This window comes from Homo sapiens, chromosome 1, assembly GCF_000001405.40.
Source record: "Homo sapiens chromosome 1, GRCh38.p14 Primary Assembly".
NCBI classification, from domain to species: Eukaryota; Metazoa; Chordata; class Mammalia; order Primates; family Hominidae; genus Homo; species Homo sapiens.
Window position 1 is genome coordinate 203,981,204 of NC_000001.11, and position 13,426 is coordinate 203,994,629.

General features: G+C 42.5%; 1 annotated feature.

The window, feature by feature from the left end:
• Positions 3,792 to 4,487: an enhancer, noted in NCBI's record as "OCT4-NANOG-H3K27ac hESC enhancer chr1:203954123-203954818 (GRCh37/hg19 assembly coordinates)". NCBI's record gives its function as "activates a minimal SCP1, AML or CMV promoter by ChIP-STARR-seq in naive and primed H9 embryonic stem cells {active_cell/tissue: H9 hESC(naive and primed)}" and the evidence as "EXISTENCE:reporter gene assay evidence [ECO:0000049][PMID:30033119]".

Here is a 13,426-nt window from a genome sequence, read left to right on the forward strand (position 1 = left end):
GCAAACAGCTGGGACTACCTACAGGCAAACGTCATCACAACTGGCTAATTTTTGTATTTTTTGTAGTGATGGGGTTTCGCCATGTTGCCCAGGCTTGTCTTAAACTCCTGGGCTTAAGTGACCTGCCTCCCTTAGCCTCCAAAAGTGCTGGGATTACAGGCATAAGCCACTGCACCCAGCCTTCTAATATTTTTAATGTGAAAAAAGAAGTATTCTTATAGAAACTAACTCAGAAACATTTTAAGAACTCGAGTTAACCTAATTTAGATAAATCTCTAGCAAGCAAAACTAGTTTAATACTTTTGGTTTAGTAAAAACAGCTATATTTTCTCTGAATTACAGGCATTAAATATAAGTGTACATTTTTATTCTACTTAGGTATGCTCTTTAATTTATACAGATCTACTGATTGAAGAAGTTAGCCTTAGTTCTACGTAATGTTTAAGATTACAAAACATATAAATTTATGTTTAACCAAATAGAAAAATCATTCCGATAAGCTTTATTTTGACAATAATTAGCTTATAGTTTCCAAGATCTTTGGTAACTTAAAATTTTAGAGTGATTCTGAATTGCAACAATTAATGGATATTCATTAGGCATCTAGATCATTTCCAAGAAACACTGATTACTAAGCATAATTTTAAGTTACGTGCTCCTTATTTTTATATGCAGCAGAGAGAGACTTTATCTTTGGGTTTTTTATGAGTATGTTCATTTCTGCCACTTTGAGAGTATATAAATGCTGTTGTGTGACAGATAATGCACAATTATCCACTGTAGAGGAGGAAAAAACCCTTTTTGTCTACCCTCCTAGGTTCTGCAGCTGGGGCCCCAGAAATTAAACTGAGGTAAGACAGATAAACACCAGAAAAACAAACAGAGCTTATTAACAAATGCAACATGGATACACGCAAGAAGAACTCAGTGATGAGTAACTCAAAGGGGTGTTTAGAACTTGGGGCTTATATAACATGTTAGCAAAGAACAATAAATTTGTAGAGAAGTGACAAGATAAAGGAAAAGCAATTTAGGGCTGAGTGTGGTGGCTCATACCAATAATTCTAGCACTTTGGGAGGTCAGGGCAGGAGGATCGCTTGAGCCTAGGAGTTTGAGACCAGCCTGGACAACATAGGGTCTCTACAAAATAAAAAAGTTAGACAAGCATAGTGGTACGTACCTGTGATCCCAGCTACTCAGGATCACTTGAGCCCAGGAGGTTGAGACCACAGTGAGCCTTGATTGTGCCACTGCACTCCAGCCTGGGCAACAAAGTAAGGCCTTATTTCAAATAAAAAAAAATGGAAAGGGGCCAGGCATGGTGGCTTACGCCTGTAATTCCAGCACGTTGGGAGGCCGAGGCAGTCGGAGTTCGAGACCAGCCTGGCCAACATGGTGAAACCCCATCTCTACTAAAAATACAAAAATTAGCTGGGTGTGGTGGTTGGTGCCTGTGATCCCAGTTACTTGGGAGACTGAGGCAGGAGAATCGTTTGAACTCGGGAGGCGGAGGTTGCAGTGAGCCGAGGTCATGCCATTGCACTCCAGCCTGGGCATCAGGGTGAGACTCTGTCTCAAAAAAACAAACAAACAAACAAACAAACAAAAAACACCAAAAAGAAAAGGAAAAGCAGTTTAGGCCTTTTAGGGATGGCAAACTGTGGAAAGGTAAATATATGGGGGAAACTAATGGATGATAAGAGCTATTTTATAAGGATTTCTATGTAGATTCCTCTCTGTGCCATTTCTGGGCTGTTAAGAGTCTAGAGTTGTCTCTGGTAATTAAGAGTTTCATAGTTGTCCTTCTATTGCTGGTGTGGGAGAGACAGACACCTCTACAAACGAAAATTCATGTCTGACTTTTAGGCAAATGAGGGGGAGGGCGAGAATTTTTTTCAGTGTCTGCTGTTTCTCAATTGCTTTCAGCTCAAAATAATCCTTACGCCAAAGTGGCATATTGTGGGGTGGCATATTCTGATCCCCTACATCACCCCTTAGTTTTCACTGTTAAATACAAGTTACTATGGTTAATTGTCTGGTGCATTCAGTCTTTCACACTTTAAAATATCTAGTATCTCTGAATTCATTCATGTCTTTTTATTTCCATCACAAACACCACCCTCCTTGTCCAAGCCATAAATCTTTTTCACCTGGTGTATTGAATTAGCTTTTTAACCATCCGTACAGTTTAGAGTAATATTTATAAAATTAAAGTCAGAATGTGATATTCAGTTTGTAACTGTCAGTGTCCCACTGCATAGTCTAACCCCACATGATTTCTCCAGCTTCATCTTCTGTCCCTTTTCTTCTCACTCACTTCTCTGGAGCCAGACATGTTTCCTTGGGTCTCCATGAACATACTCCCCAGCCCAGAGCCTTGGTGCTTGTTCTTCTCTCTACCTGAATGTTCTTTGCATGGCTGGATCCTTTTCATCATCTGGTCTTAGAGGAAATATTACCCTCTGTGGTATGATATGACATATCCCAGTTCCTGTCACAGGGCTCCTAAAATCCTTAGAACATCCTGAGTGATAGGGGTGCCTTCAGTTATGCATAATGAGCCCCCTTGGATCACACCTGGGTTCATGATAATGAGTGATTTGGGGTGAAGCCCCTAGATAGCCCAGGATGTGGCCAGTCACCAAAAAGACCCAATGATTAGAGGATTAGAAAGTTGGAACTTTCAGCCCATCCAACAGCCTCCAGGAAAGGGGGCTGGAAGCTAGATGTTAAGCTCTATAAAAACTCCTTAACAAGACCTGATGAGCTTTCAAGTTGCTGAACACGTGGAGGTGCCTTTTCCCCAATGCCTTTCCCTATGCACTTCTGCATCTGGCTTTTCATCTCTACCCTTTATAATCAATAGGCTTAGTAATAAACCAGTAAATATAAGTAAGTGTTTCCCTGGATTCTATGGCCTGTCCGAGCAAACTATCAAACCTGAGAAGGGGGATTGTGGGAACCCAGATTTATACCTGGTACATCAGAATCACAGGTCATAACCTGGGACTTGCAATTGGCACCTGAAGTGGGGCAGTCTTGGGAGACTGAGCCCTCACCCTGTGGGATCTGTTGCTGTGTCCAGGTATCTAGTGTCAGAATTGAATTGAATTATAGGATATGCAGTTACCATACACTGGAGAATTGATAGGGAGAAATGCCAACACAATTTGGTGATCACAAGTTAAGTGTTCTGAACTGCTTTGAGTGTGAGAGCAAGAAAATCCATTAGTTTGGCTTTTTATATCTAATAGACCTCAGAGACCTTCCCTGACCACCCTATCTACACTAGTTTCTCCCACATCGTATTCCGTTTTTAATTTTCTTCTTAGTGTCTACCAAGTACCATCATCTGAAACTACCTAAATCCCTTTTTACTTGATTATTTTCTGTCTTCCCAACCAGAACATAAGCTCCAAGAAAATAGGGACCTTATATTAATCATCACTGTTTCCTCAAGGCCAAGAATGCATCTGACCATAATAGAAGCTCAAGAAATGTTTGTTGCCAGGCACGGTGGCTTATGCCTGTAATCCCAGCACTTTGGGAGGCCAAGGCGGGCAGATCACAAAGTCAGGAGTTCGACACCAGCCTGGCCAATATGGCGAAACCTCATCTCTACTAAAAATGCAAAAATTAGCCAGGTGTGGTGGTGCGCACCTGCAGTCCCAGCTACTTGGGAGGCTGAGGCAGAAGAATCACTTAAACCCGGGAGGTGGAGGTTGCAGTGAGCCGAAATTGCACCACTGCACTCCAGCCCGGGCGACAGAGCGAGACTCCATCTCAAAAAAAAAAAAAATTAAAAAAAAAGAAAAAAGAAATGTTTGTTTATGGGTGAAAGAATATCAGCAACATTGCTGGATCTTACCATGTGTATTTCCAACCCTACTGAGGTGAAAAGCCAGGCCTGGGCCAGGACTGTGGGTCTTCCATTTCTTAGCAACCCCAGTTGTTTTCTGCTTAATGGCTTTAGCCTTCAGGCATAGATCCAGAACAAAAGGGTATCAAGGGAGTTGCAAGGAACCTATCTTCTTTAATCTCCCCAGGAATGTTGCCCCTGCCCCCAAACTGCATTCCAGTCTTAGCCTTGGAATGAGAGCCCTCTTTCACCAAAAGTGTGCATGACAAGAGGCTGTTTCAGAGGGTCCAAGACCAGGGTTTCCACAATTCTTAGTGTCTTCTCCATATTCCCAGTAAGTGTTTTAGGATTCCACATTTTTCCAGTCAAGTGTATCAACCATTTTTACACAAAAATGGAGCAAATTAGAGCACTTGGTTGGCTGCATTTGGGCCTTGCAAGTTGTTGATTGATTGATCTGGATTTCAGAATCTGGTTTGTAGTTCAGTTTTTTTCCCTGCTTCCAGCTTTGCACATTTGAACTGGAATTTGCCTTATTGTCCCTTGTCAAAATCATTGAACTGTTCTGATTAGCCTAAATCTCACTCAACAGATTTGTTTTCTGTTGCTATAATGGAATACCACAGACTGGGTAATTTATAAAGAACAGAGATTTGTTTCTTGTAGTTCTGGAGGCTGGGAAGTCCAAGGTGGAGGGGCATGCATCTGGCCAGGGCCTTCTTGCTGCATCAACCCATGGCAGAAGGCAGAAAGGCAAGTGAGTAGATATGAGCCAGCTAGAGCAGACAGGCCCCAACTCGCTTTTTATCAGGAACCCACTCTGGAGATAACAGCATTAATCCATTCATGAGAGCAGAGCCCTCATGGCCTAATTGTCTGTTAACAATCCCACTTCTTAATACCATGACGATGGCAATTAAATTTCAACATGAGTTTTGGAGGGGGCATTCAAACAATAGCAGTACTGAGTGCCTCTTACATGCCAGACACAGTTGTGAGCACTTGAAATGCACCAGGAAGCAAGAGACGCAAGTTGCTTGCCCAAGAGGACCTTCCATTCTAGGGGTATCAGGGTAGGTGGGTGGGATAACAGCAAACATAATAACTAAGTAAATTGTACAGGATGTTGGGGGGTGATAAGTAAGTTCTTTGGACAAAAGAAAAAGTAAATGGGGGTAAAAAGATTTGTGGGAGGTAGCAATTTTAAACAGAGGAGCCCAGTGTAGATTGTGATATTTGAAAAAAGACTTGAAGGAAGTAAGGGAATCAGACCTAAATATTTAAGAGCAGAGCATCCCAGGCAAAGAGAGTAACTAATACTGAGGCCTCAAGGCAGGAGCATGCCTGGTAAACAGCAGTGTGGCTGGACTGGGTGAATGAGAATGGTAGGAGACAAGGCCAGAGAAGTGATGGGGGTTGAACCATGTAGGGCCTTGTAGCCGCTGTAGGACTTGGGTTTTTACTCTCAGGGACATGGGGAGTTGTGGTGGGATTTTGAACAGAGGAGTGACAGGAGCCACTCTGTTTTCAAAGGATCACTCAGGCAGCTGTGTTGAGAACAGACTATGGAGGTGCAAGGGTGGAAGCTAGAAGACCTGTTACTATTCCAGCAATGCAGGCAAGAAATGATGGTGGTAGCAGGGAAAACAATGAAAATTGGTTAGATTTCAGATATACTCTGAAGAGAAACCCACAGGAAGAAATGGGTATGGTGTTTGAGAGAAAGAAAGGAGTTGAAGCTGACTTCAAGGTTCTCTCGTGAGCAGTGAGAAGGATAGAGTTGCCATGAACTGAGATGGGGAAGGCTGAGGGGAGCACCAGCTTGGGGAGTGTATTTCCTAAGTGGAGAAGTTGAGCAGGCAGTTGGATAGACAAGTCAGGAGCTCAGAGGAGAGGTCTGGGCTAGAAGTTTAGATTTGGGAGTTCTTGGCATTCATTAAGTATTTAAAGCCATAAAATTGGATAAGAGAATAACGGTAGAGAAAGAACAGAGGGTCAAAGATTGAGCCCTGGGGCATTGCAACTTTTAGAACAGTACTGAAGAATAAAAACATAATGTGAGCCATAGTGATTTAAAATTTTCCACTAGCTGCATTTTTGGTCTGTTTATTTTTTGAGACAGTCTTGCTCTGTCACCCATGGCAGAGTACAGGGACATGATCACAGCTCACTGCAGCCTCGAATTCTTGGGCTCAAGCAGTCCTCCCACCTCCGCCACCCCAGTAGCTGGGACCACAGGCACATGCCACCATGCCTGGCCAATTTTCGTATTTCATTTTGAGGCGGGGTTTTGCCATGTTACTCAGGCTAGTCTTGAGCTCCTAGGCTTAAGCCAACCTCCTGCCTCCACCTCCCAAAGTACTGGGATTACAGGGATGAGCCACCACACCTGGCCTAGAAGCTGAATTTTTAAAGGAAAAGGAAAATTAGGTGGGCATGATGGCCATGCACCTGTAGTCCCAGCTACCTGGGAGGCTAAGACAGGAGGATCACTTGAGCCCAGGAGCTGGGGGCTATAGTGAGCCATGATCACACCATTGCACTTCAGCCTGGGTATGAGACTATGTCTCAAAAAAATGCATAAATAATATAAAACTTAAAAATAAAGAAAAAAGAAACAGGCAAAATTAATTTTAAACTTTCTTTTATTTAACCCAAGATATCTAAAATTTTACCATTTCATCATGTAAGCAACATAAAAATTCACAATGAAATATTTTACATCCCTTTTTCTCCTAGTAAGTCTTTGCAATCTTACGTGTACCGAACACTTACAGCAATCTCAATTCAGGCTAACCACATTTCTAATGCTTTATAGCGATGTGAGGCCAGTGGCTAATTCGTTGGACAGCTTAGATTGAGAGGTTTAGGAGAAGATAAACTAGCAAAGGAGATTGAGAAGGAGGAAGCTGTGAGGTAGAAAGAAAACCAAGACACCGCAGCATTCCAGAAGCCATGTGGGTAGAAGTGGTGGTAATCTGTAGAAGTTCTTTTCTGATGGTTTCCATTTTGTTAGTGAAGGAGCAAGGAAGTTTTCCTGCCCAGGGTGAGGACGTGGGAGGAGGTATTGGAGGTTTGAGGAGAGAGGACAGGGTATGAAATAGGAGAGTGAGGTGGGAGAGTGAATACACCAGGGAAGTAAGGGATGGTTGCTGGGCAGCAGGAAAACTCACTGAGATTGAGATGCATGAATTTAAAGGGAAAACAAGGCAGTGAAGCTGAATGTTTTTCTCTAGCCACAAAGATCCAGGAGGTAGAGATGGAGACTTGGATTTCACCAGGGTAATGGTTTTATGGCCTACTTCTTGATGCCACTGTGTTTTGGTTAAATTTATTCTGATTGCAGATAACAGAAATCAGCTCATACAAAAAAGGAAATTTAGAGAAAAAAATTTAGAATTTAAAAAAAGGAAATTTATTGGAAAAATTCTGGATAATTTTCAGAAATAGAAAGGTACCCAGAAAGTCAGGAAGCAGCAGGCAGTGGTCTGCACTGAGCTGCAGGTGCCCTCTCAGCATGCCTGCCTCTGCCTCCTCTTTTGCATTTCTAGCCACTACACCCCACAAGATGACCCCGCCATTGCCAGTTAGATATCACCTCACCCCCAGCCTCAGAACTCACAGTTGTCTTTGAATTTATATTATTCCATGGGCTGAATTTTGTCACCCCACAACTCATACGTCGAAGCCTTAACCCCAGGGTGATGGTGTTTGGAGACAGAGCCTTTGGGAGATAACTAGGATTAGATGAGGTCACTAGAATGGGGCCTACATGATGGGATTACTGCCCTTATAAGAAGAGACTAGAGAGCTAGCTTTCTCTCCACCAAGGAAAGGCCACAGGGAGAAAGCAACCATCTTGCAAGCCAGGCAGAGTGGCTTCTCCAGGAGCCAAGTTGGCTGGCACCGTGATAGTGGACTTCCAGCCTCCAGAACTGTGAGAAATACATTTTTGTTTAAGCCATCAAGTCTATTGTATTTTGTTATAGCAACCCACACTTACTAAGACACATTACTAAGAGAGAGAATCTGATGGAACAACCTTGGGTCAAATGGGGTGTAAGTCAAGGAAAAAGTCATAAGGGAAAGACAATGGTTAATAGTTCAAAAGATTGTTTTATATATTTGCAAAAACAGCTTCAAAGGCTGACTCCTAATGAGTGTTCAAATGAACTTTCGTAGAATATTCAGTATTAAAGGGTAATCAATATATATAGTCTCTCTCTATATATAAAACCACAACTCAAATATAAAGTGAATGCATATCAAAGATTTTATTTAACTCATTAATTAGTGAAGGGATCAGTAAAATGTTTCAACCAGTTCAAGAGAGAATTCAAAGATCACACATATAAATAGGCCAAAAAATGCATTTATAAATAGATGCAAAACTGGCTTTTTGTGGGGATGGGTGAGAGAAAAATCAATTGCCCCTCCACTAGACAAGATTCATTTTCATGTGTATAAAGCAGAATTATTTGCATTGCTATCAGTTGTTTACAACTTACAGTGTTGTAAAATAGCTTTGAGACAATGAAAGGTGCAAGTCCCATAGAATCAGATAACCTAGAAGGGTGAGCTGTACGTAAAGCATGGTTTTTCACTGAAGACATTTAGTAATTCTTTGATCCATTTCACAGCCTTTCACAATTTTTTTCTGACAACTAAAAATACCTGAGTCATTGGTAAGCACCATTTCTTCACGATTCCCTCACTGTCCATTATTTTTATGTGCTCAATATTAGTTGGAACCTTTTCATTTTTAAAAATGAAGTTTTCTATTTAATTATTTAAAGTTATATGGCACTCAGAGTCATAATTACATACAAAAAATATCAGATACCCAAATTCCTTGTAATTGTGCATAATTTTATCCTGTTAAGCCCCAAAGCTGTATTATCTCATCCATTTTGGTCTTTCTAAACCATATTAGATCTCTGCCTCATATAAAAAAAAAATGGAAAAGACTATTAATGATATGAGCAAATGCTCACAAGGTTAATATTAAACCTCAAAAAGCAGGATAAAATTGTGTTCTAGTGGATCTAAATTTTCTCCTGTGTCTTTTTTGTTTTGAGAACTTTGAAAATACAAAACATAATTACCTATATTTTTCCACCCGAGAATCAACAGCTGTTAGCAGTCACATTGTGCCGGTCTTTTTTCTTGTTGTATTACTATTTTCAGATTATGCCCTTTCCTGAGAGAATCTTATGCACCCCCCTCATTGCCACGTGACTTGCAGGACACACCCCATTTATGGCGGGTGTGGCCATCTGACTTAGTTTTGTGGGCTCTGTGCTACTTCCTAGCTGATGCTTTGGTTCTGCCACCTTTCATTTCCCTCTGCTGTGAAAACAGCGTCTTTGTAGTAGAAGCGTTTGCTTCCACTTAAATCCCAGAATAAAGAAGACACGTCGAGCAGAACCCTGGCCAATCTGCAGCTGGGTTGACCAGAGCAGTAAATACACCTGTGTGCATGTAAGCCCTTGGGGTGTGTGGAGGCTGTTTGTTACTGTGACACCACCTAGCCATGTATTTCGTTTTTAAAATGAAAGATGTGGCCGGGTGTGGTGGTTCACGCTTGTAATCACAGCACTTTGGGAGGCTGAGGCAGGAGGATCACTTCAGCCCAGGAGTTCAAGACCAGCCTAGGCAACATAGCGAGACTCTGTCTCTACAAAAAATCAAATAATTAGCCAGATGTGGTGATGGACACCTGTAATCCCAGTTACTTGGGAGGCTGAGGTGGGAGGATCACTTGAGCCCAAGAATTCGAGGCTGTAATGAGATATAATCACATCACTACACTCCAGCCTGGGCAGCAAGAGTAAGATTCTGTCTCTAAAAAAAAAATTACAGATGTGTATGTGTTGCATTTTGATTCCTACATTTTCTCCTTCAGAATTCACTTTTCTTTTTGTTCAAACAGTTCTTTCAGTGAGAGTCTGTGATTAGTAAAATTTCAGAGTTTGTGCGTCTTACTGGGCATAGATTTTTACATTTAACATTATTTTATTTCAGCATTTTCAGGATTTTATTCCGTTGCCTTTTGGCATCTGCTTATGTATGAGAAAGTCGGGAATCAATCCGATTTTTTTTTTTTTTTGAGACAGGGTCTCACTCTGTCGCCCAGGCTGGAGTGCAGTGGCACAGTCACAGGTCACTGGAAGCCTCGATCTCCTGGGTTCAAGTGATCCTCCCACCTCAGCCTCCACAGTAGCTGGGACTACAGGCACACACCACCACATCTGGATAATTTTTAAATTTTTTGTAAGCCGGGCACGGTTATTCACACCTGTAATCCCAGCACTTTGGGAGGCTGAGGCGGGTGGATCACCTTAGGTCAGGACTTCAAGACCAGCCTAGCCAACATGACAAAACCCTGTCTCTACTAAAAGTACAAAAATTAGCCAGGCATGATGGTGGGTGCTTGTAATCCCAGCTACTTGGGAGGCTGAGGCAGGAGAATTGCTTGAACGTGGAAGGCGGAGGTTGCAGTGAGCTGAGATCTAGCCATTGCACTCCAGCCTGGGAAACAAGAATGAAACTCCATGGGAAAAAAAAAAAATTTTTTTTTGTGGAGACAGGCTCTCGCCATGTTGCCCAGAACTCCTGGGCTGAAGTGATCCTCCCTCCTCAGCCTCTCAAAGTGCTGGGATTACAGGCCTGAACCACCTCACCCAGCCCAATCTGATTCTTGTTTCTTGGTAAATAATCTGTCTTCCCTCTTTAGTAGCTTTTAAGATTTCCCTTTCTTGTTTTCAAGTGTGGCTATGAGTTTTTAAACCTATTCCCTCTCTCATTTTATGTGTTTGGAGAAGGAGGAGGTTTCAACTTTGCTCCACCTGCTGTCTTGACCCAGAACTTGGTTCCTGCATGACTAAATGGAGCAGACTTGCTTTGATGGCATATACTCATTATTTTGAATCATCCACTTTTGTGTAGTGTTGCAAAAACCTCATGCCCCTCAGGCCCTGATAAAGTTTATATACCTATTTGGATTTAAGTGTCATTAACATTGGTGAATGTCTGTGTTTTTTTTAGTTCTTGTGTCTTCTTCTTCTTTTTTTTTTTTTTTTTTTTTTTGAGGCAGTCTTGCTCTGTTGCCCAGGCTGGAGTGCAGTGGTGTAATCTTGGCTCACTGCAACCTCCTCCCTGGTTCAAGCGATTCTCCTGCCTCAGCCTCCCGAGTAGCTGGGATAACAGGCACCCACCACCAAGCCTGGCTAATTTTTGTATTTTTAGTAGAGATGGGGTTTCGCCATGTTGGCCAGGCTGCTCTCGAACTCCTGACCTCAAGCAATCCACCTGCCTCGGGCCTCCCAAATTGCTGGTATTACAGGCATGAGCCACCACGACTGGCCACTTGTGTCTTCTTTTAGAGTTTTTCCCCTTCTCTTCTTTCTGGCTGTAAGCTGCCACTTGATTCCAATGTCCATATACACATCTATAGCAATATTTTGCCTGTTGCTTGGGCTCTACGCTACTCAGAATGATTCCTCCTGCTTCACTGCACAGAACAGATGTACTGTCTCTATGTCTATAGCTCCTGCCTCCAAACTCAGCTTGTGACTTCACTTTCAAAACCCACAGGATTACTCACGTGCTCTAGCAAACAATGGAATATCTCTTATGATTCCTTTTCTTTTTCCAACTAGTTCAGCAAACAAAGAGATGATATAGAAATGTATTTCTTTATTGATAGAACTCATGTACTTCATTAGTGAGGCATTGTACTTGACTTCTAATAACAAAGGCCTAAATTAAAGGACTTAATCTAATAAAAGCTTTTCTCGCCCTGTATAAAAAACTTCAGAGGTATGCAATTTGAAGCTTGTATTGTGGGCTCCTCAGTCATCTGGGCTCAAGCACTTTCTGTTTTTCTGTTTGGCCTTCCTTAACACAAAAGTTTCAAACTCAGTGGCCCTTTGTGGTCACAAGATGGCTGCTGGAGATCCAGTGATCATGACCAGGTTCTATTTATTTATGTATTTATTTTTATTTTTATTTTTTTGGGATGAAGTCTCGCTCTGTCACCCAGGCTGGAGTGCAGTGGTGCGATCTCGGCTCACTGCAACCTCTGCCTCCCAGGTTCAAGCAATTCTTCTGCCTCAGCCTCCTGAGTAGCTGGGATTACAGGTGCATGCCACCAAGCCTGGCTAAGTTTTGTATTTTTAGTAGAGACTGGGTTTCACCATGTTGATCAGGCTGGTCTCGAACTCCTGACCTTGTGATCCACCTGCCTTGGGCTCCCAAAGTGCTGAGATTACAGGCATGAGCCAATGTGCCCTGCTGGTTCTTTTTATTTTTTAAGAGATGAGGTCTTGCTACGTGCCCAGGCTGGACTCAAACTCCTGGGCTCAAGCAGTGATCCTCTTACACGTGCCGCCATGCCTGGCTGATCATAACTACATTCCAGACAGGACAAAGAGGAAAGTGAGAAGGGTGAAAAGATATGCCTACCACCAGAGTTAGCCCCTTTTAAAGTTTCCAGATGCTCTACCTCTTCCACATATATTTCTTCGGCCATCTCTAGCTGTAAGGGAGATACTTTGTTATCTCACATAAATGGAATATATTTCTTTATGCCATTGCTTTTGATTAGTCTGCAGCCTATATTAGCTTACGTCCTTGTTCTCAGCCATATTCTAGTTAGATGAGATATGACTCAATTTTTTTTTTTTTGAGTTGGAGTCTTATTCTGTTCCCTAGGCTAGAGTGCAGTGGCATGATCATGGCTCACTGCAAGGCTGGGCGTGGTGGCTCACGCCTGTAATCTCAGCACTTTGGGAGGCCGAGGCGGGCGGATCACAAGGTCAGGAGTTCGAGAACAGCCTGGCTAACATAGTGAAATCCCATGTCTACTAAAAATACAAAAAAATTAGCCAGGCGTGGTGGCGGGCACCTTTAATCCTAGCTACTCAAGAGGCTGAGGCAGGAGAATCGCTTGAACCTGGGAGGCGGAGGTTGCAGTGAGCCGAGATTGTGCCACTGCACTCCAGCCAGGGTGACAGTGCGAGACTCTGTCTCAAAAAAAAAAAAAATTAATAATGGCTCACTGCAACTTGGAACCCCTGGGCTCAAGCAGTCCTTCCACCTCAGCTTCCTGTGTAGCTGGGATTACAGGTGCATGCCACCATGCCTGGCTAATTTTTAAGTGTTTTGTAGAGGTAAGGTCTTGCTATGTTGCCCTGGCTGGTCTTGAACTTCTGGCCTCAAGTGATCCTCCCACCTTTGGCCTCCCAAGTGCTGTACCAATTTTAAAAAGAAATGTAAATGTTTTTATTTTCATGGCCCTTGGCTGTTTTCAAAGATCATATCAATAACTGTAAAATGGATAAAACACTCACCATCAAAATCATTGAAGGTAGCTAACTTGAAATGCCATCCAGGAACCACTGTAGAATTGGCAACATTGACTCACACTCTTCTCAGTTAGTTCAATTCCACCTTTACTGGGTGCCTATAGCGCTGGCCAGGCACCAGTTACCTGTGGTGAATACAGGAACAATCAAGATTGCCCTGTCCTTGAAGAGTTCCATTTTAGTGCCTTACAAGTAACT